Below are 23,817 nucleotides of genomic sequence, written 5' to 3' on the forward strand. Positions count from 1 at the left end.
GAGCAAGACTCTGTCTCAAAAAAAAAAAAAAAAAAGCTGAAACTGGATCCCTTCCTTACACCTTATACAAAAATTAATCAAGATGGATTAAAGATTTAAGTGTTAGACATAAAGCCATAAAAACCCTAGAAGAAAACCTAGGCAATACCATTCAGGACATGGGCATGGGCAAGGATTTCATGACTAAAACACCAAAAGCAATGGCAACAAAAGCCAAATGGGATCTAATTAAACTAAAGTGCTTCCGCACAGCAAAAGAAACCACCATCAGAGTGAACAGGCAAGCTACAGAATGGGAGAAAATTTTCACAATCTACCCATCTGACAAAGGGCTAACATCCAGAATCTACAAAGACCTTACACAAATTTACAAGAAAAAAACAACCCCATCAAAAAGTGGGCAAAGGATATGAACAAACAGTTCTCAAAAGAAGACATTTATGCAGCCAAAAGACACATGAAAAAATGCTCATCATCACTGGCCATCAGAGAAATGCAAATCAGAACCACAGTGAGATACCGTCTCACACCAGTTAGAATGGCGATCATTAAAAAGTCAGGAACCAACAGATACTGGAGAGGATGTGGAGAAATAGGAACGCTTTTACATTGTTGGTGAGAGTATAAACTAGTTCAACCATTGTGGAAGACAGTGTGGCGATTCCTCAAGGATCTAGAACTAGAAATACCATTTGACCCAGCCATCCCATTACTGGGTATATAACCAAAGGATTATAAATCATGCTACTATAAAGACACATGCACACGTTTGTTTATTGCAGCACTATTCACAATAGCAAAAACTTGGAACCAACCCAAATGTCCATCAACGATAGACTGGATTAAGAAAATGTGGCACATATTCACCATGAAATACTATGCAGCCATAAAAAACGATGAGTTCTTGTCCTTTGTAGGGACATGGATGAAGCTGGGAACCATCATTCTGAGCAAAGTATCACAGGGACAGAAAACCAAACACCGCATGTTCTCACTCATAGGTGGGAATCTAACAATGAGATCACTTGGACACAGGGCAGGGAACATCACACATGGGGGCGTGTTGTGGGGTGGGGGGCAGGGGGAGGGATAGCATTAGGAGAAATACCTAATGTAAATGACGAGTTAATGGATGCAGCAAACCAACATGGCACATGTATACCTATGTAACAAGCCTGCATGTCGTGCACATGTACCCTAGAACTTAAAGTATAATTAAGAAAAAAAAATAGTGAGGATGTGAATTAAGACATCACCACCATGGACAGGAACTAGAAGCTTTGAAACTGAGATAACTTCCCAGAATCCAAGAAAGCAATGGCCACAGACTATCCAGTGACACCTTGGCCTGTTTTCTGAATAATTATCTTTCAGCAGCTTGTTTCAGTTTTATCAACAGACAGAAGTAAGTCTGCTAAGAGCACAAATATATTCTAGTTAATTGAGAAAGAATCCAGAGTCAGACTGGCTATTTCCTGGAGCAGATTATTGAACTGCCCTTAAGAAATTATTGAGGGATTTAGATCAAGGCTTAAAGGTAAATCCTTCCCCCTTCCATCTTGTTACATCAAATGTAAATTACAATATTGAGTTATGATAATCCATATCAGAAGCATATACCTTCAGCTGTTTTTCTGAAGCTTGTGACAAGAGACAGGCTTTTATACATTGCTGACCATGTTTTGTACCATGTCATCCTCCACTACTTTCACATTAGACAAGAGGTTGATTCTTGACCCAAAGACAGCCTACTTTGGCTGCTCTACTTTGTAAAAGATAGCCTGTAATATACACCTCTTCCAAAAGGCTGTTCTGTGCTGGTTGAATCAATTTGATTATTTTTCTTAGGGAGTTTGGACTCAAAGACACAAAGATAGAAAATTAGTTGGTAAATGGCAGAAGAGAAAATTAAAACAGATACTAAGAGTTAGGTGTACATGAGTAGAGCTCATGAGTAGGGGAGAATGGACACCAAGATACTAAAGTCGTAACATTAATGAGTCACTAGGACTATTGTGCCTGGAGGGAGAGTTGTGGTTATATCTTGAATGATCCTTGGGTTCTTTGTGAGGCCTGACCATGCAGCTGCTGAAACCTGTTTCCTTTTCTTCTTTACTTCTGCATATATCCTTATACTAACCCCTCATCTTTGTTTTCTTGCAAGCCATATAACATGTTTATCAAAAGGGTTATAGCAGTAGCCAATTAAGTAACAGACACTCCCTCTTTTCCTTCTCCTTCTTCCCTGCCCCAAGCCACTAGTGGATCTAATTTCTCTAAGGAAAAAGAGGGGCAGGGGAAGTGAGTGGTGCCACCCATTTGCCCCTTCAGGTACCTGGGTCCGAAAGACAAACCAGCAATGGAGGAGGGAAACACTTTGAAGCATATGTAAGATTAATAATTAAACTACAACCAGAAAGTTATGGAATCTTCCCAAGATGTTATTACAGGACTTGAAAGGAAGATTTGACATTGTATGTCTGGGAGCAATGGTGAAGAAAACCAAAAAATAATTTTATGTTCATACCCTCACTGAGGTGAGACTTCTCAATAAACTAGATATTAACAGTTATACATGCCCTTTTTCAAACTACTTTTGCTTTTTTAAAAAAGCAAAAATATATAATATCATCATATAAAAGGAAAGGATGATACACTCCTCAATTTGAAAAGGGTGGTTGTAATAAGGACACATAAGTTTGCAGCAGTGTGCATTCAAAAAATAGGGTGGTCACACATACACACACACACACACACACACATACACACACACACACACGAGATTTATTGTACTTTAAAAATAATGAACACCGGATCACCTGAGGTCAGGAGTTTGAGACCAGCTTGACCAACATGGCAAAACCCCATCTCTGCTAAAAATACAAAAATTAGCCTGGGCGTGGTGTCACCTGCCTGTAATCCCAGCTACTTGGGAGGCTGAGGCAGGAGAATCGCTTGAACCCAGGAGGCACAGGCCACAGTGAGCAGAGATCGTGCCACTGCACTCCAGCCTGGGTGACAGAGAAGGACTCTGTCTTAAAAAAATAATAAATAAAAATAAGAAACAGTTAAGTTCCGGCGTAAAAAATAGAATAAAGTTGTTACAGTAACCCCCACTTATCTGAGAAGGATACACTCCAAGACCCTGCCCCTCTGCCCCTGCCCCAGTGGATGCCTGGACCCTGTATACAATGTTTTTTTTTTTCTCCATACATACATACCTATGATAAAGTTTAATTTATAAATTAGGCACAGTAAGTGATTAACAACCACAATAATAAAGTAAAACAATTCAGCAAAATAGGGGTTACTTGTAAACAAGTACCAGGATACCATGACAATTAACTGATCACTGAGATGGTGGCTAACTGACTCCTGGGCAAGGAGCATCTGTAGCATGGAGACACTGAACAAAGGGCACCATGCTACTCAGAAAGGCATGCAATTTAAAATGTATGAATTGTTTGTTTCTGGAATTTTCCATGGAATCTTTTCAGACCATAGTTGACTGTGGATAACTGAAGCCATGGAAATTGAAGCTGGATAAGGTGGGATCTACTGTTTTGCCTTCCTGCAGTTATGCAAGGAGTTGGCAGGGGAATTGATTCATTATTTAATTTTATAATGAAAGAAAGAAGAACATTAGGATTCAAAAGTTGGATTACCAAATGATGACTTGTCAACTCATTCCCTGCACTCCAAGTATCAGCAAATTAAGAGTACCAGTTCCTTCATTTGCCACATTTTTATACTCCGTGGGCTGCCATTACTATTCTCATGTGTCACTTGTGTTACAGTTACCTGACTGCACTCTCATAAGGACAGTTCTTGAAAAGCCGCTTCCATACCATACTTGCTTTGTGCCTGTGCTTGGCACTGAAGAAGACACAGATACACATTTGACCTCCTGATGGTGCTCTGGAAGCCAAAATGATTCCTTTCCCTCTCACCTTCCTGATTAGGCTTGTGTTTGTGTGTCTTATGAAGATGGTTAGCTATATTTTACGGTGTTATATTCTGAGATGGCAATCTAGTTGAAGTCCATAGGTAAGGAGCTAGGTCTTTTGTAGAGAAGCTGAGTTTATTCAGTGTTATTCAGAGGCAGTCTCAGACAGCAAAGCAAAACTTGAAAAGCAGATTTCCCCTTGGCTTTTGAAAAACCTCTCTTCTCTTTTTTGTGACTGTTCTTTTGGAACTGGACTTTATGGGCTCTAAAATGTAAATTCAGAAAGAAATGAATGTGTAATTGTTGCTTCATTATCTTGTGTCATTCTTGGCTTTGGCTCTCCAAAATTGCTCTCTTCAATTGCAAGTAGACTTATATTGAATGTTGATGTTCTTTCCCTCCTTCCACCTGTGATGAGGCCTTGTTTTACTGATGTGGCTGGTCCTTGCCAAGGTCCTTCAGCACCTCAAAAGCAGATTGTGAGATCCACACATATCTGTACCTAGCATGATTTTTTTTTTTAAAGACACAGCATCTCACTATGTTGGCCCACACTGGCCTTGAACTCCTGAGCTCAAGAGATCCTCCCACTTTGGCCTCCTGAGTAGTGGAGGCTACGGGTGCACACCACCACATCCAGCAATTAGCATATGCTTGTCGTTGACAGTATATGCTCTAGAGCAGGGGTTGGCAAACATTTTCTGTAAAGGGCCACGTAGTAAATATTTTAGGCTTTGTGGGCCATAAGGTCTCTTACTGCAACAACTCAACTCTGCTGTTGTGGCATTAACACAGCTATAAACTAAACATAATGAATGATCTTGGCTGTGTTTCCATAAACATAGGGACTAAAATTTGAATTTTGTGAAATTGTTATGTAGCACAAAATATTATTCTTTTTAAAATGTCAAAATCATCCTTAGCACATGTGCTGGTAAAAAACCGCCAGTAGGCTGGATTTAATCACAAGAAATGTAGTTTGACTTCCTCTACTCAAGGCGTCTCGGGGTCCTAAAGCTGGTTCTGTCACTTCACAACTATGTGACCTTGAACAAGTTAATTCACCCAAATTACCCTCAGTTTCTTTACCTGGCCAATAAAATAGGTTGGTGTGGAAATTTCAATATAAATCTCTTCGAACACTGCCTGCCATATAGTCAGCATTCAATAAATGGTAGATATTATTAATATTCCTACCTCCAAAGACATCTTTGTTTTATCTTTTCAGAGATTAAACTCAGATTACTTTGGTACATCATTTTGAATTGAGTTAGATTTGTTCTTTTTCCAAATTTGTTTTTTACTTACTTTTCCCTTCACAAGCCTTCCATGCTCTTAGTAAGTAAATGATTCTGATAAGACACACGGAGTATTTCAAAGCTCTCTTTGAAATATTAATTATTTAAAATATCGAATGTGAGATTTTTTTTTCCAGAGGCATAAACTGGTTTTTCTGGTAAGCGTTAACATTTAGGTTTATTGGGTGCTTGTTTATTTATAGAATGTGTAATTTTCATCTCTCAATCTTCTAGCATATAGGTAACTGGGAAAAAATGAATAAGCATAAACATTTTTTTAACCACCATTTGCTATCAAACTCTCTCACCTTATGCAAAGTGTCAAAATGTGCCTTTGGCTGAAATGTTTCTTCACTGAAACTCTACCATTAGAAATAACAAGCTTCTCTTTAAGATATACATACATTAGGGAAAGTTAACTCACCAATTCAGTTCCCCTAACAAACTTTTAGGTAACACCTACCATGTAGACATTTTGGGAGAAATCACTTCATCCATCCTTCATCATTTATCAGTTTGGGGTATAATATCCACTTATGACCCCTAATACAGTATTTATTCCATGGCAAAATGTACCTAAAACATTAATTTTAAAAGTATTTAGGAACAGTAGTATTCACTATGAAGTTTATCTGGGATTTGATGATTCACCTCACTATAGGAAACTGTTAATTACCTGTTCTGGCAAGGAGATGAGATACTAGAATGAATGAACTCTCTAACCGACATTTTCCCCTATGGTTTTAACTTTAATTGCTCTGAGATTAATTTTCTTTTTAGTGGATACCACTGTGCAAGGCCTCAACCTGGGAATGTAATGTTTTTCTGTTTTGTTTTACAAACTTTCGACTACCACATCATGTAATTACTACACTGCCCCTAGCTCATCCTGTGGATTCTAGTAATTTCTTCTAAGCTCCTGTGTCCTCTTTTCCATCTTGAAAGTTTTCTTCTTTTGAATAAGAGCATCTGCCTTCATTATTTTCCATAGAACTTTATACTTTCTATTTATGCCCTCTTCTAATCTCTTTGGAATATCTTGATTTCCTTAAACACTTTCTGGCTGTAAATAACTTCATAGACTATTATCTTAGTTACCATCTGTTGATTTTCCAAGTCACCATTAACTCCATTCTTCACTCACTTCCAATTAAACCACAAACTAACAAAATCCTCTTGTCGCCTAAAGGCTTTCTAGGTGCTTGTGGACTGAAATATAAGTTGCTGAGGTTTTTTTGATGACTATTGACACAGTGCTTTGCCAAATGGTTTGATTTCTCTTATTTCTGATTCATTTATGGTTTTACTATTACTCTTACTGATAGATATTAAAGTCTTGCAGAACGATGTGTTATTTTCACCATATTGTGGTAACCTTTTACTTAGTCTTTATTATCTCCTATTGTTTCATGTTAAATTCTGAGAGTTATTTGTCAGCCGTGGGCCTTCATGTTTGTTAGATCTCAGAGAAGGGATTTTTATTTTCCTCTTCTTTAATAAATGAGCAGTCTTCAATTTTGTGTTATCTACAAATCTGTATAACTTGCAGCACGTTCTTAATCTGGACCATGATAGATACCGTGAAAAAGATTGAATCTAGCACTGGTTTTTCTTGCACTCCACTTGTCATCGCCTTCTTATGCTGTCAACTTCCATTTACTACTGCTGATGACCTTGCTCACAAAACAATTTTGCGTTTCTATTTATTCTTTTACCAATAATGACCAAATTGGCCATCTGACTGTACCTAGAGTTCTATGCAGAATAATATTTGTCACTGCAAATCAAATTGTATTTGTCATATAATTGATTTCTCTCCCAATCTGGTCCACTTTGCATGCTACGGTGAGGCTGATCTTAAATGCCACCTTTGTCATGTCACTGTCCTGTTGAAGATCAATCAGTGGGTTTTTAGAGTCCACTGAAGCACATTCAAGTTTCTTAAAATGATATCCAAGCTCCTTTAGAACTTTGCTCTGATATTACCTATCCAACTGTAACTCCTGTATCTTTCAACTCTGTTTCTCTCCTCATGCTTTATCATGGATACCATCCATATTTTATTTCAGGTGGCTATGCTGATTCAAAGTGGCCTCAACTCTTTTTTACCCCCTTAAAATTATGTGATATAAATAGACAAAACTAATATATGATGATAGATATTCAGACATATGTTTCCTCTGAGTGGGCAAAAGAGAATTTTCTAGAGAGTTGGAAATGTTCAATATCATGATTGTGGTGGTAGTTACATGGATGTATGCATTTTTCAAGACTCTTCAAACTGTACAATTAGTATCTTTCCATTTCAACATTTGTAAATTTACACACACACACACACAGTGCACATGTATGTGCACTAGGAGTTCAGATATTTAGATTTTATTATCTGTGAACCAGTATGATCTGTTTTTTTTTTAAATCTGTTTTTGTGTCTTTTACATGAAATTATAATAAAGTGCTCTAGAAATGTAATGTTTTCAGAGGCTTAAGTCCCATTTCTTCCATGAAATCTTCCCTAACTCCTCAAGCCCACAGAAAGCTTAGTTTTATTTTTAAAAATGATTTCATATGTGCAAGTATTATCTCACATAAAGAAGGGTCCTACTTTCAGTAAGAAGCCTTTTGCTTCTATGGGATCATTTAACAGTGATTGGTTCATAGCAACTTTTTTCAACTTTGAGCAGCTCAACTTTTGCAGAAAACTTTAATTATACAATCTAGAATTCAAGGAGGCTATAACAGTGAATTAAAACCATTATGCCTCGGTTAAGATTTTAGGAAATGATTTTTATAGTATTGGCTTTACTTCAGTAATTTTCAAGGTGTGATAAACTGGAATACAGTCTTAGGAAATGAGAGAGTCCAGGGCACTTGGTGCTTAAGTGCCTAGAGGAGTAAGGGGTATTCTAATTAATAATGTTTGATAAAAAGGAAGGAGAGCACAGAGTAATTTCAAAAACTATGAAGGGTCAGAGATTTTGCCCTACTTGCATGCCAACAAGTTAGCCTGCTGCAGTTTCAGCGATGCTGGCAGAACACACAAGACTCCTGGGTCAGAGACACATAACTCTTGTTATTCATTCATGATACAGCAAGCAATATGAGCTTCACGTTCACATTGTTTTCCTTTGCCCTCCAACCCCCAGAGTTGGAAAGCAAACCTAGACCAGGGTTGGGAAGGCAAACCTAGGTGGATGCTGCACTCACGGTGGGTTTGTGTCATTGCTGAGGAATCCCTGCTTAGGGAACCCAAATCTTTTATAATGGACTGAACACAAACCTGCCTGACATTTTTCCTAGAGGGAGATATAACCTGTCTGCAAAGCAAATGAACCTGTCGTCTTCTCTAGAGGAAGACACTGTATCTTCCAAGGTTGTTTTCTGTAAAAACATCCTTGAAAAGATAGTACAGAAAAAGGCCATCAGTGCCTCTGTTCACAAAATGTGCAGAAATGTGAGAAACCCATAGAGAATTGTCTGTAAGTAAGTATGTGCTAGCCAATAGGAATAGGCTTGCACAAAGGTATAGCAGAGGTAATTCATTTACCTAGTGCTAATTGTAATCTGTATCATCTCCAAACCCTTTTGTGAAAATTAAGACAACACAACACAAGTAAATGCTGATACTGAAAATTAAGCAGCAGGCATTCGGCATCTACTAAATGACAAATACTAAGGGAAACATGAAAAAGAAGGTACAACCCATACCTTTTATTTGATATGATGATAAGTAGCTCACACAAAGCCCACAGATGCATGCAGCCCACCTAAGTCCTTAGTAATATCTGTGACTTTCAAGCTGAGTAGAAAGTTGCTTCTAAAGTGTTACCTCTCAGATATGCCCATAAGTTATTATTTTAGTGGCTAAAAGCATTACAAAATTTTCCCTTGATATTCTTTCACTCAGTTAAATAGGTATTGTATGTTGTAAAAAACACATTTTTTGCACGTGTTCAATAAAGTTTTTGTCTTTTTTAATGAAATAAACACATAAACAATTTTTTTTCTTGAGGTTGAACTCGTAGACCAAAAAAAACCCTACTCACTACTAATTACATCTAAGTAAGAATTAATGGTTCTATGAACTTGGAAGTTCTAAGTGAACTGTCAACCTCAAATTAAATCACATACAAAATTTCACTGAAATGCATTCAAAATGAAGAGTAACTTCTTTCAAAGGATCATGTTGACTTCCATTTTGTTTTAGGAAGACTAACTGAAATATAATCAATCCCATGATTATATTCATAAAACCTTGATTCAGTAAGGTTAGACATTTTATGAAAAATACTCAGCTTCTTTGAAAGTTATCGTGGAGCAAAAGAAAAAGTAATGGGGGACTGAAGCCTACATTTCTTTCCTTTAATACATCAGTGATATTTACAAAAATTTTTTTTTTAGCAGAACTATTTGGCATATATGTTCTCAGAAGGGACAATATTACCCCAAAAGGGATGAATACTGGTTCTTGGGAATGTGGGTGGAAAAACATCTTAGATATTGCAATGGTTTGTAGCCTTCCAAAGGACCGCGGTACATAAACAGACGTACAAGATATCTGTGGCATTAAATGTTAACAATAGGGGTCATTAGAAAAAATATCTAAAAAGACTCCCAGTGGGAGGAAGACAATAATGAAAAAAGGTTGAGAGACGTTGCTCTAGCATAATATTTCGACAAGTATAGTGAGGTAGCAACTACTAAATTAAGCAAAGGTATTTATTTTTATTCCCACTTGACTTTATTTATTTTGAGACAGGGTCTCACTCTGTCACCCAGGCTGGAGTGCAGTGGCATGCTCATGGCTCACTGTAACCCCAACCTCCCAGGCTCAAGTGACCCTCCCGCCCCAGCCTCCTGAGTAGCTGAGACTATACATGCACATGCCACCACACCCAGCTATTTTTTTTTCTTTTGTATTTTTTGTAAAGATGGGGTTTCACCATGTTGTCCAGGCCAGTCTCAAACTCCTGAGCTCAAGTGATCCTCCCACCTTGGCCTGCCAAAGTGCTGGGATTACAGGCATGAGCCACTGCACCCAGCCTCCTCTCAACTTTTTGTCATATTTGTTTTTCCATCTTTTTATCTAATTACAATATAATAGCATTAAAGAATTTTAATAAAACAATATCTATAATGTTATACATTTTTATGTTTGCATATTATTTAGGTAAATCATAAATATATTTTTTCAGTAATTTACATATATTTACTTTTCTACATAGTCTTTATAATTATCATTTTTGTAAGGATACATAAAATTTCACTTGTGCTGTTGTCCTCACCTTCTTGTACTTATATATCTCTAAAAATTCCTTCCCTGTCTTCTTTGCAATTCTGCTTCTCCTGACTGCCTGTTAAAAGTTGGGTTTCTCTGATTCTGGGGAGGGGATTAGGAAGACATTAGTCAAAAGACACAAAATTTCAGTTGGACAAGAGGAATAAGCTCAAGAGATCTATTGTACATCATGGTAACAGTAGTTAATAACAATATATTGTGTATTCAAAAATTGCTCAGAGATTTTAAGTGTTCTGACTACCAAAAAATGGTGACATATGTTAAACAGCTTGATTTAGTCATTCCACAATGTTTACATATATTAAAACATCATGGTAGGGTGCAGTGGCTCATGCCTGTGATCCTAGCACCTTGGGAGGCTGAGGTTGGCTGATCACTTGAGGTCAGGAGTTTGAGACCAGCCTGGCCAACATGGTGAAACCTTGTTTCTACTAAAAATACAAAAAAAAAATTAGCTCCCGCATGGTGGTGCACACTTGTAATCCCAGCTACTTGGGAGGCTGAGGCAGGAGAATCGCTTGAACTTGGGAGGTGGAGGTTGCAGTGAGCCTCGATCACACCACTGCACTCCAACCTCGGCAACAGAGGGAGACTCGGTCTCAAAAAAAAAAAAAAAATCATATACTGGGTGTGTGTGTGTATGTATATGTGTGTGTGTGTGTGTGTATAATTTTTACTTGTCAATTAAAAATTCTTAAATATTTTTTAAAAAGTTGAGGTTCTCTGGAATTGCATCTTCTATTCTATCCTTCTTCTAATATACTTTTTCAGGGTAGGTAATCTCATCCACCATCCAATGACACCCAAATCTTTAGCTCCAGCCCAGAGTTCACTTTTGCATTTCGGACCCACATTTCCAACTTCTTTTTCATTATTTCTACTTATATATTTCTTAGATATATAAAATAGATCACATTTTCTCATACTTGTTTATCCCTGGTCATCTAAACTCCTCTCCTTAATCTCACCCTCCTTCTCTTGCCTGCTAAGTCCTATTGACTGTATTAATGCCTTCAAAATATCCATCCTCTCCATTCACTTTGCTCTCTGTTTAGTTCAGGATATGTGTTATTTAGACAATTATGCTATGCACCTAAAAATTTCCCTGCCTTTTTTTTTTTTTGAGATGGAGTCTCGCCCTGTCACCCAGGCTGGATGGAGTGCAGTGGCGTGATCTCGGCTCACCACAACCTCCACCTCCCAGGTTCAAGCAATTCTCCTGTCTCAGCCTCCCGAATAGCTGGGATTACAGGCGCCTGCCATCACACCTGGCTAATTTTTTTTATTTTTAGTAGAATCGGGGTTTCACCATGTTGGTCAGGCTGGTCTTGAACTCCTGAGCTCAAGTGATCCTCCCACCTTGGCCTCCCAAAGTGCTGGGATTACAGGTGTGAGCCACTGTGCCCGGCTAAAATTTCCCTGCCTTTTGTCTCACCATCCTCTGAGTCATTCTCCACAATGCTGTCTAACAAGTCTTTCTAAAGAATAAATCTGATCAGGTTACTTCCTTTTGTTTATAGCTGATATGCCCAGTACAGTAACCACCATCTGCATGTAGCTATTGAGTGCCTGAAATGTGGCTAATCTGAACTGACGTGTGCAGAAGTAAATATGTACTAGATTTCTAAGAGTTAGTCTGATAAGAAGAATGTAAAATACATCATTTTGAAAATACATTTGGTTGAATGTTTACTTAATGTACTAAAAATCAATTTGGCCAGGCGCAGTAGCTCACGCCTGAAATCCCAGCACTTTGGGAGGCCGAGGCAGGCGGATCACTTGAGGTCAGGAGTTCGAGACCAGCCTGGCCAACATGGTGAAACCCTGTCTCTACTGAAAAATACAAAAATTAGCCGGGCATGGTGGCAGGCGCCTGTAATCCTAGCTACTTGGGAGGCTGAGGCAGGAGAATTGCTTGAACCCAGGAGGCGGAGGTTGTAGTGAGCAGAGATTGCGCCACTGCACTCCTGCCTGTTCAACAGAGTGAGACTCTGGCTCAAAAAAAAAAAAATCAATTTTACCTTTTTTTATTTTTTAATATTACTACTAGAATATTTAGCATTATTTATGTGGTTCACATTTATGGCCTGCATTTTATACCTAGTGAATCCTGTTAACTTATCGAATAGTGTTCAAGCCCCATATCATAGAATTTTCATCTTTCATCATCTGGGCACTAATTCCTAGTTCATTTCAACTTCTTCCAGCTATTGAGCAAAGAGCACTGGGCTTGGTATCAGACTGATCTGAGTTCATACTTGGGCCTCTCCACCACAGTTGAAATACATATAGTTCTTATCTCAGTATGTTGTGAGGATTAAAATATCTAACAACTGTAAAGTGTCAACTGCATATAATTTAATTCTCCCAGGTACATTCTAGCCATACCAAACTACCTTCAGGTCTTTTTTTTTCTATTGAAAAGAGCAGGTGATACTTCAGATGTGTCTGTGAGCTTAATGAATGTTGTTTTGTTTGTTTTGTTTTTGTTTTTGTTTTTGTTTTTGTTTTTGTTTTTGTAGATGGAATCTCAGTCTGTTGCCCGGGCTGGAGTGCAGTGGTACAATCTCAGCTCACTGTAACCTCTGGCTCCCGGGTTCAAGTTCAAGTGATTCTCCTGCCTCAGCCTCCCGAGTAGCTGGGACTACAGGTGCCCACCACCATGCCTGGCTAATTTTTATATTTTTAGTGGACTCTGGGTTTCACCATGTTGGTCAGGCTGGTCTTGAACTCCTGACCTCAAGTGAGCCACCTGCCTCAGCCTCCCAAAGTGCTAGGATTACAGGCATGAGCCACCACGCCCAGCCTCTTAATGAATGTTACAACTACACAATCCCCTTTCCATGTTTACTCAATGGGCTCTACTTCATTTTTCCTGTTTTCACCAAATATTAGACCTGAGAACCTCAGTGTTTCTCTTCATTTTTTTTTTTCATTCAATACCCCATCCTAGAGAGTTTATTTTAAAAGAATAAATTATTATAACATTGGAGAAGTTTCAGATCAAATGCAGAACATAATCAAAAAATATTTTAGCTTGCTCTTGTCCCATAAGAAAATGTATTTTCAGCTGGGCGCAGTGGCTCACGCCTATAATCCCAGTACTTTGGGAGGCCGAGGTGGGCGGATCACCTGAAGTCAGGAGTTCGAGACCAGCCTGACCAACAGGGAGAAACCTGTCTCTACTAAAAATACAAAAACTAGCCAGGCGTGGTGGCGCACGCCTGTAATCCCAGCTACTCAGGATGCTGAGACAGGAGAATCGCTTGAACCCCGGAGGCAGAGGTTGTGGTGAGCCAAGATCACGATCACGCCATTGCACTCCAGCTTGGGCAACAAGAGCGAAACTCTGTCTCAAAAAAAAAAAAAAAATGTATTTTCATTTGTGATCTCATACCCCATAGTTAATTTTTTAAACAAAGTAGGATTTAGATTTAACTTTGGAATAGCATCAGAAACAATGTCCTTTCCCTCTTCCCTCCTTCTTCTCTTAACCCTCTTGCCTGCAAATTGTCATCTACCTCACACTCACACATTTAGCTACCCTCAAGGTAGCCACCTATTTAGGGTCCTTTTCATCAGCTAGGCCAGTTAGGAAGAGCAGGCTGAGCTCACTGGGGATTATGCACAGTGTAATAGAGACTTTCTGGCCATTGACACCTTGAGACAAACACTCTAACAAATCTTTAAAGTGTTTTTCATGGCTAGAGTTGTCAAAGATAGGAGGAGGGTAAAATGTTTTAAATGCTGTTTCTGTTAGGAATTTCCACGAACATCTTCTGAGCATCCCACTTATGGCTCCTTAACAGTTCTTTCCCATAGGAAAAGTTTAGACACACAGCAGCATTCTAAAAAGGAAGTGGGACTCTGGCTGATGTCCCTAAAAGTTAAAATGTGGCCTTTCAGATAATGTGGTCACCTTTTTCTTTATACAGTGTTAGCATCTCAAAATGGTAAAGGATATGGATTAGGTAAGAATTGAATGCAAATGTGTTTTGCAAATAGTGTTTTCTAAGATAATCGCAGATGATGGTTGAATGCCGAAAGTATTAATACAATCAGTATTTAACCTTGTGTAACTCCGCTTCATCAAATCACGCCCTGCACATTGATTGCATTAAGCTGAGTCAGTGGTTTCTTGGTTAGGAATATCTTATAAGAATCTTAACAGGAAGGCAGCAGTAGCTGATCAGCTACTGTTTATTTGCATACTGAGCGTGTCATCAATAATACAAAAGACAAGGTCTTTAAGTTGAAAGAACAGTGGGATTGGCATGAATTTTTCTTAATGGTGCATAATAAGCAAAGTAGTCTGTGGTGCCAGAAACTGACAGGATCCATTATGTTAAAACAGATATATGTCTTTAATTTAGGGGTATTATGTAAATCTGACAGGAGTTTTTCCCTTTATTTTCCTGTAGTTTAACTTTAATTGCTCCAAGATTAATTCTGATTTCTCCCTTTCTCCAGAGGGTGATGAGACTGGTGTGATGGATAATCTTCTAGAAGCCCTACAATCAGGTGCAGCATTCAGAGACCGTCGAAAGCGGATTCCAAGGAATCCAGGTAAAACACATTCCACCTCACATAGTATTGTAAAATATGAATGTTCAGAGCAAAGTAGCAACACCAAAAAAAAAAAAGGAAAAATAAAAATACTTCCTCATGAAGACTTTTTTTAACAGTTGATCTCAGCTCATGTGTGAAATCTCAGCAGGCATCTACATGATTGCAAGTTTCAACTTGGTAAATGTATCTTCAAATAACTGTAGACTTTACAACAAAAATCAGAAACAAGGACTCCCACTGTGTTTAATATTAAATATTTTAATTGTTATTTTATGAGCATGTGGTTTAGGTGGAAAGTAGTTTAAAACCATAAATGTAATTAAATCATTAAAAGTAATTGGCCCTAAGGAGATCACATTAGCTATTCACAGGTAAGGAAACTGAGACAATGCTTGTTTCTAGAGACCGTTTTGGTTTTGCAGTGCAGTCTGTTCTCTGTGATCCATGTTAATAAAGGGAGGAGAGGAACAGATACTCCAAGATCCCCTCAAATCCCAAAGTTTTTGTTTTTATATTTGATTAGTAACAGTTAAAGCCACACTATGAAAATAGATCTCAGGGGAAGAAAAATCGTAAAAGAAGTAAAACAACCTCCCTCACCCAAGTGAACTGGAAAGTTGTCTACTTTCTCTGTTCATACCCTATGGTAGAAGTAAATAATGTAATAGCTCCTCTAAGGATAATCCAAGTAGGCTGAACTGTCTACCTCCTCTCAGTAAAGTTTTCTATTTGTAGCTCATATCTTTCTTGAAGTAGAGAAAGAAATTAGGTATGTTGATTTTAAGACTCCTCTTCATGGGCTGTAAAGCTATATGGAGAAGTAAATGAAAAATGGAAAATTAATAGTCAATATGTAAACTCTACTTCATTTAGATTAATAAGATTTGCCTTAAATAGCCTGCAATTCCAAAAATATTCTCTATTTGGACTGGAAGTTACCATGTGTCATTTAATGGAAATTAGTAGCTCTCAAAACCATTGTATTGCAACAAACGAGTGAGAGAAATGGGGCCCAGAACATAGTTGTCCAGGAAAGCTTTTGGCAGTGATGACCTTGATGGCAGAAGACAATATATGTTATATTCATCTTTTTCACATTTGGGTGAATCCTGATGGATATTGGATAACATTCTGCCTCTGCTATTTATGGATGGTCCCTGAGAGATTAACCTAAAGATAAGATTTGATTGAGAGGAAACAAGTGTTTTGGTTGGAGTATAAGACTACTTTTATGTATATGAATGCATCGTAGATGGCCTACAAAAAGGGTGGAAGACTGGACGAAAAAAAGAATGGAAGTCTGTATTTATAAGTTCATATTCATTTTGAAGGTAATGCTGCATGGCAGAATACTAGGAGCACTACTCATCTATAACTATGAGGCAGCCATTCCACTTATCCGCAGCCTTTGTCTGTAAATGAGAATGTTCTACCATGCCATCAAGCCCCTATCACCTCTTAAGGAAAATAAAAACCTTCACTGCTCTTTCTTGAACTATCAGAGCAATAGTAGTCAGTGAAAGGTGAACTGAAATCATTTTTGTATCAATTCATTTCTCTGTTAAGCAGCTGATAAGTGAAAACATGTTATTCTGGGCCATAAAAGAACTGCCATAATTTTTCTAGGCTGTTTATTTTAAAAATGCACATTTGCTAAAGCCCTTGTCTGATTAGTCTCACACCTCATACTGATTCCAGAAAAACTGTACTTGGAGAGAGAGATCATTCCATGGGGTTTCTGTGAGTTTGGTACTCAAGGGAATATAGTGTTGTCAACTGTGAAACACCAAGAATATATTCACAAACTGCATAATTTTATAGTACTGATTCCAAGTAATCTAAATTGGGATTTCCTTTGGTTTGTAGCTGGAGTGCCTCCATGAACACATAGGGTTAAAAATATCACTCGATTTAGCTGTGGCAGTCATTCCAAGTGGCAGCAGCCAAAGCAAATGTCCAGAGGTAAAACGAAACTCGAATGCAGACAGTGGCAGTGGTTGGGAAGCACCTTGGTCATCAGTAGAAGAGCTGGAAGTGAGGGAGTGGGGACAGAAGGCACAGAGTTTACAAGTCTGCCAAAAAACTCTGTCTGCCTCTTTCTGGAAGAAGCAGAACCGGGGACTTTTACAGATTTCCTCCTTGCCTCAGCCCTTCCTAGCTAGATCATCTTTTCCTGCTAGTCCCGTTATTTTTACTTTCTTAGGCACCTGATTTGTTTCCTTTCCAAGATCCCATTGACTTGGTATTGTTATACTTTCCCTGTTCAACATTGACATTCTTGATCTTTTCCAACAACCTCCACTTCAGCATGATGAGATAAAAGCAGAAAAGGCTAATTATAAAGAAGGCTATCTTCCCCCAAGTAAAGTAAAATAAAAGGAAAATCCAAAAAACACTAAAATCAGAGTCAACCACAATCAGCGGAGATGTACTTACTGCTCTGCTTGCCATTTTCATTACCATCGCTTATAGATGGGTATTACTGTTATGTAAAATACAGAGCTCTACCATTGTGTTTCTAATTGTAATCTTTTTATTTATTTTTTATTTATTATTATTTTTTTGAGACGGACTCTTGCCCTGTTGCCCAGGCTGGAGTACAGTGGTGCGATCTCGGCCCACTGCAACCTCCACCTCCTGGGTTCAAGAGATTCTCGTGCCTCAGCCTCTCCAGTATCTGGGATTACAGGGACATACCACCATGCCCAGCTAATTGTTGTATTTTTATTTTATTTTTATTTTTATTTTTATATTTTGAGATAGAGTCTTGCTCTGTTGCCCAGGCTGCAGTACAGTGGCATGATCTTGGCTCACTGCAGCCTCTACCTCCCAGGTTCAAGTGATTCTGCTGACTCAGCCTCCCGAGTATCTGGGACTACAGGTGCCCGCCACCACGTCCAGCTAGTTTTTGTATTTTTAGTAGAGATGGTATTTCGCCAGGTTGGCCAGGCTGGCCTCAAACTCCTGACCTCAGGTGATCCGCCCACCTCGGCCTCCCAAAGTGCTGGGATTACAGGCGTGAGCCACCATGCCCGGCCAAATTGTTGTATTTTTAGTAGAGACTGTGTTTTGCCCTATTGCCCAGGCTGGTCTCGAACTCCTGACCTCAGGTGATCTACCCACTTGGGCCTCCCAAATTGCTGGGAGTAGAGGTGTGAGCCACTGTGCCCGGCCATCTAATTGTAATGTTTTAAATTTTATATGTAAACAAGATGAGGTGATAGTCTGTATTCTTCATTAGAAAATCAAAATGTTAATAAATGATATGATTAGTTGCCTAAATTATAAATCGCCCACTCTGAGCCTGTGCCCCCTACCCAAGACCTACCATATTTAGTAACTCAGAAGGAGCTTCCACATATTGCCTCCAGCCCATTCAGCGGATGTGCTGTTTCAGTTAAGTACCAAAAGGCATTTCAAGGTAGACTATCATATCAGTAGTGATAATTGAAAATATTTTTTTTTAATAAAAAACAAAAAGGCTGGGCGTGGTGGCTCATCCCTATAATCCCAGCACTTTGGGAGGCTGAGGTGAGAGGATCATTTGAGCTCAGGAGTTTGAGGACAGCCTGGACAACATAGCAAAACCCCATCTCTACAAAAAAATACAAAAAAAAATTAGCCAAGCATGGTGGCATGTGCCTGTAGTCCCAGCTACTCAGGTGGCTGAGGTGAGAGGATTGCTTGAGCACGGTAGGCAGACGTTGCAATGAGTAGAGATCGTGCCACTGCACTCCAGCCTGGATGACAGAGCCAGACCCTGACTCAAAAAAAGAAAAAAAGAAAATATTAACTGGTGTATCACAGGCCCCAGATAGTCGAAATGTACACAGGTGATAAATAACGACTCTGGTTGTACTGGTGCATACTAGCTGAATATTAACCCAGATCACAAGCTTTGCTGATGTCAAAATCAGAGATTAGGAAATGAGCCCCTAAATATTCATTTATTGTACATCTGCTGTGTAAAAGGTACTATGCTGTACATGATGAGGGAAGATGTAGAAATAATTAAGATAAGATTTCCTTAGTTATAAGACCCTGTGTATTATAGGAACGATAAAAAGCACAGAAAGACTACAGAATAAGGCAGAAGATAATAAGTATCATACAAGAGGTGTTAATAACATACTGTGTGACTTCAGAGAATGGGACTTGCATGCATTATCAGATATATCAGAAAAATAATAATGGAGGAAAAGACTGAAGGATGAGTAGGGATTCCAACAGTGAGAGCTGGAGTTAGGGATAGTGGGCATTTTAGTCAAAAGAAATGTCATTAAGAAAAACAGAGGCAAGAAAGTTCAAAGCATTTTTCAACAATGGCAAACAGTACAGTAAGAAAATAGGATATATATAGCATAGAAGTATAGGGGTAATTCTGGAAAATTAGGTTTGCTCCATATCAGGGAGTGCTTGAATGAGAGACTAAGGTGTTAACTTACAATTCTCTAAGCAATGGGGATTTATTGAAGGCTTTTAAGCAGTGGAGGAACACAAGTTACGCATTAGAATATTTAAAGGAGTATAAGTAATCAATTAGGAGTCTATTGTCATATTCTTATTTAGAGATAATTTAGCGTGAGAGGAGTAGTCAAGAGGCAAAGATAACCCTATGGCTTTGAGTATGACTGGCTAAGAAGACATTTGGGTTACTAAACTTTTTTTTTTTTTTTTTTGAGAAGGAGTCTCACTCTGTCCCCAGGCTGAAGTGCAGTGGTGCGATCTCCGCTCACTGCAACCTCCGCCTCCCAGGTTCAAGCAATTCTCATGCCTCAGCCTCCTGAGTAGCTGGGATTACAGGCACACGCCACCGCACCCAGCTAATTTTTTTTTAATTTTTAGTAGAGACGAGGTTTCATCATATTGGCCAGGATGGTCTCAATCTCCTGACCTCATGATCCGCCCGCCTTGGCCTCCCAAAGTGCTGGGACTACAGGTGTGAGCTACCGCACCCAGCCGTAAGGTTACTAAACTATTAAGATCAAGAAAAGGAGTGGTGATAGTAGAAGAAGGTAAATTCAGTTTTGGATAAGTTAAACTGAAAGTGATAGCAGAACACTGAGGTCAAGATGTCCAGAAGATTTTTGGAAATATAGTTACAGATTTCATGACAAAATGAATTCTTGAGTGTTCTGGATATAGTGTGGATAGGGGAAGGGATTGTTATAGGGATTTTTAAGAGAAAAGAAAACCAAAGACAGAGACTTGGAAACACCTTCACTAAGGGGCTAAAAGAAGATAGACAAGGAGCAATTGGGCAGGTAGGAGAATCCAGACATTATTGTCCTAGAAACAAAGGAAGAGGGAAGTCCTAAGAAGGGAGGAGAGGTGAACATTTTTGACAATGACATACGCTCTGGTGGAATAAAAAAGGGTAAAAAACCGATGATTTGCTATTTGGGAGCTTTCTAATGACTTTTTGAAGAGCATCCTTTCAATATTGTGATGGAACTGGGAAGAGAATACAGAGCTATGCAGAGTAGATGGTGAGGCTATAGGGAAAGATCATATTCATTCAACAGTTGAGCAGTCTTATTGAATGCCTCCTCGGTGCATTATACTGAGTTAGGTACTGAGGATACAAAATCAAACGGGAGCCTAGAGGAGCTCACATACTGTTTGGGAAAACACGAATATAAACCATGTGATCAATTTACAATGCGGTCTTCTATATGCTGTAATAGAGATAGGAACAGTAAGCCTGTGCAGCATAGGAGTTAGAGTAACCACTCCCAACCCCCCACCTCTCTCCTTTGTGTCTGTATAATATGGGCTATTCTTTCTAGCAGTTTGGTGGGTGAAAGGTACATCTCATTTTTCCTTCACAACCTAGTATGGATTTATCTTCTCTGAATTTTGCTAAATCTTTCTTGATCCTGTGTTGTTACAGCCTTTGTTACCACATAAGATAATAAGTTGCATACATTTACCATCTACTTTGTAAAGAATTGCCCTGGCTGTGTAATTGTAAGATCAAAGATAAGCTTTGGAGGAAAAAGAAGCACATAGAGAGACACCTTGCAGGAGTGAAAATGACTCTTTTTTTTTTTCTTTTTTTCCTTTTTTTTTTTTTTGAGATGGACTCTCACTCTGTTGCCCAGGCTGGAGTGCGGTGGCGCGATCTTGGCTCACTGCAAGCTCCGCCTCTCGGGTTCATGCCATTCTCTTGCCTCAGCCTCCCAAGTAGCTGGGACTACAGGGCCTGCCACCACGCCCGGCTAATTTTTGTATTTTTAGTAGAGGCGGGGTTTCACCGTGTTAGCCAGGATGGTCTCAATCTCCTGACCTCGTGATCCACCCTCCTTGGCCTCCAAAAGTGCTGGGATTACAGGCGTGAGCCACCGTGCCCAGCCAGAAAACCACTCTTAAAATACAAATACACAACTCCACATCTGTTTTATTGCCAAATAGCTATAGATACTTAGAGCTTGCTTCTCTTTCTTCAACCAACCCGACTTTTTTATTCTTTGCCCACTGTAAGTAAATATAAATGGGCTTCTCAGCAATAGGTGGATATCTAACTTAGCATTTTGGCTATGACTGGATTTTGATATATAGTTCTAGACATTAAAAAAACACACAAGAGAAGCATTATGAAGAAATGAAACCAGGAAACAATAAATGTATTTTGGTTTTAGAACCACACGGGGCAACCAAGAAAACTAAATTTCAAAAATCAGGAGCAACTCAGGAGACACATGATCCTAGTTTTATGTGTCAGCAAGATAACAGTATAAATGAGAAGGTATAATTTACCATTTGAGAACAGATAGGGGACAAGAAACAATGTTATACAACAGAGAAAAAGAAACCTCCGTATGTATTAGGGAAGAATAATTTCACAGCAAAACAAAACCCACATTTCCCCAGGCCTCACTGCCTCATGTAAATAAGAAAACTCAAATTTTGCTGGCTCTTGTCTCTACATACACATTCAGCACCTCATCTGCTATAAGGGATCTATGAAGCATTTCTGGGAGTTATCAGGGGGCATTTCACAGAAACAAGCAAACACCACCGTTCCTCCACCTCTGCTATAATATCATGCATTTCTACGCTTGCTGTCTTCTGTAGCAGCAGGGACTCATGGCTTCACAACGCCAGAGTTTGACAGTCATCATTGACAAAGTAGGGGGGAAATGCCTCTCTCTTTTCCTTTAGTGCGGCACTCCACCTGTGTACCAAGTAGTACTGCTTATGCCTCAGACTATTACAGATAATTTTAGAGAAAGAGCTTTCAATTTTAAATGACACCCTCCCCCGCCCACCATCACAGAGGATTTGACCCAAGATGGCAAGAGCCAAAGACAAGCTCATAACAGATCCCACGTAATACTCAGCATCATCTTGATGACCAAGGTCTATTGTGGTTTTGTGCTTGTTTTGTTTTATTATTACTAGGTCTTGCTGGTCGTTCATTCCAAGCTGTTTACTTCTTTCTCCCTGAAGATAAGTTCTTCTTCATGAACTTTCTCAGTCTCTGTTTTATAAATGTCAGAATCTTATACTACCACACTAAGCCCCATTTAGTCTATAATACATTCATTATATTGTAATATACAATTAAAATCTGGTTTTAGAAAGTAATGCAAGGAAATAAATAAAAGCATGACATTCATCCAAGTAATACTTATTAATCAAATACTAGGGGCCAGGCAGCAGTGCTAGGGCCTTGGAGTACAAATATGGGTCTTGCCCTTAAAAACTCAGAGCCTCATGGGAAAGACATATGATATAAATTTCATAATATAAGTGTTCAAAAAGTGCTAAAAAGAGCAACTAACCGCCTGGAGAATTCAAGAGAGGCTTCATGATGAAAGTGGCCTTTGATCTATGTTTGGAAGGATGAGTAGTAGTTTGGGGGAAAACAAGAGGAATAGGCTTTTCAGATAAAGGAAATGACAAAAACATGTGATGGAGATATGAAGGAGTAAAGTGGCAATGATGAAAAGTTAGTTTGTTGTAGCAAAGAGCCAGCAGGGGGTTTAAAGTAAAGGATTACATGATTTTACACACACACACACACACACACACACACACACACGTAAATGAGTTTGAGGCTGGAGACAGATTTTGGGGACATCTGCACATATATATGTTTATTGAAACCTTGGGATCACCCAGAAAGGACATCTCAAATGAGAGGGTTGAGGATGGTACATTTGGGAATTATAATATTTAAGAGGTAAATAGAGAAATCAACAAAGGATACTCAGAAAGAAAAAAAAATTAGGGAAGAAGAGAAGCAGTAAAAAGTGGTACCTAAGAGCTGGGCATGGAGGCACGTGCCTGTAATCCCAACTGGCAAGAGGAATACTTGAGCCCTGGAATTTGAGACCAGCCTGGGCAACATAGTGAGACCCTCTCTTTAAAAAAAAAAAAAAAGAAAAAAAAAAGTAGTACCTGGAAGACCAAGAGTAGAGAGAATTTCAGAATGGAGAATTAGTCAACATGGTCACATCCTATAGAAAAGCTAGGCAGAATGACAACTGATAATTGACCAATGGGTTTTTCAACTAGCAGATTACACCTGACCTTTTCCCATGTACTTTCAATGTAATTTTGAGGGCCAAGAGGCAGCTTCTTGTTTTTTTTTTTTGTTTGTTTGTTTTTTTTTTTTTTTTTTTTTTTTGAGACAGGGTCTGACTCTGTCACCCAGGCTGTAGTGCAGTGGTGCGATCACCACTCCCTGCAGCCTCAAA

At 38.9% G+C, this 23,817-nt stretch overlaps 1 protein-coding gene across 2 annotated transcripts in view; it reads left to right on the forward strand.

Annotated features, from left to right (window-relative positions):
• The window catches only part of DIAPH2 (diaphanous related formin 2), a 920,156-nt gene that overhangs the window by 729,795 nt on the left and 166,544 nt on the right, over positions 1-23,817 (forward strand). For both annotated transcript variants that reach the window (NM_006729.5, NM_007309.4), the window contains exon 26: positions 15,014-15,109. In NM_006729.5, the coding sequence (NP_006720.1) occupies positions 15,014-15,109 (96 nt within the window). The remainder of the gene's footprint in view (positions 1-15,013; positions 15,110-23,817) is intronic.

Source organism: Homo sapiens, chromosome X, assembly GCF_000001405.40.
Source record: "Homo sapiens chromosome X, GRCh38.p14 Primary Assembly".
NCBI lineage: Eukaryota > Metazoa > Chordata > Mammalia > Primates > Hominidae > Homo > Homo sapiens.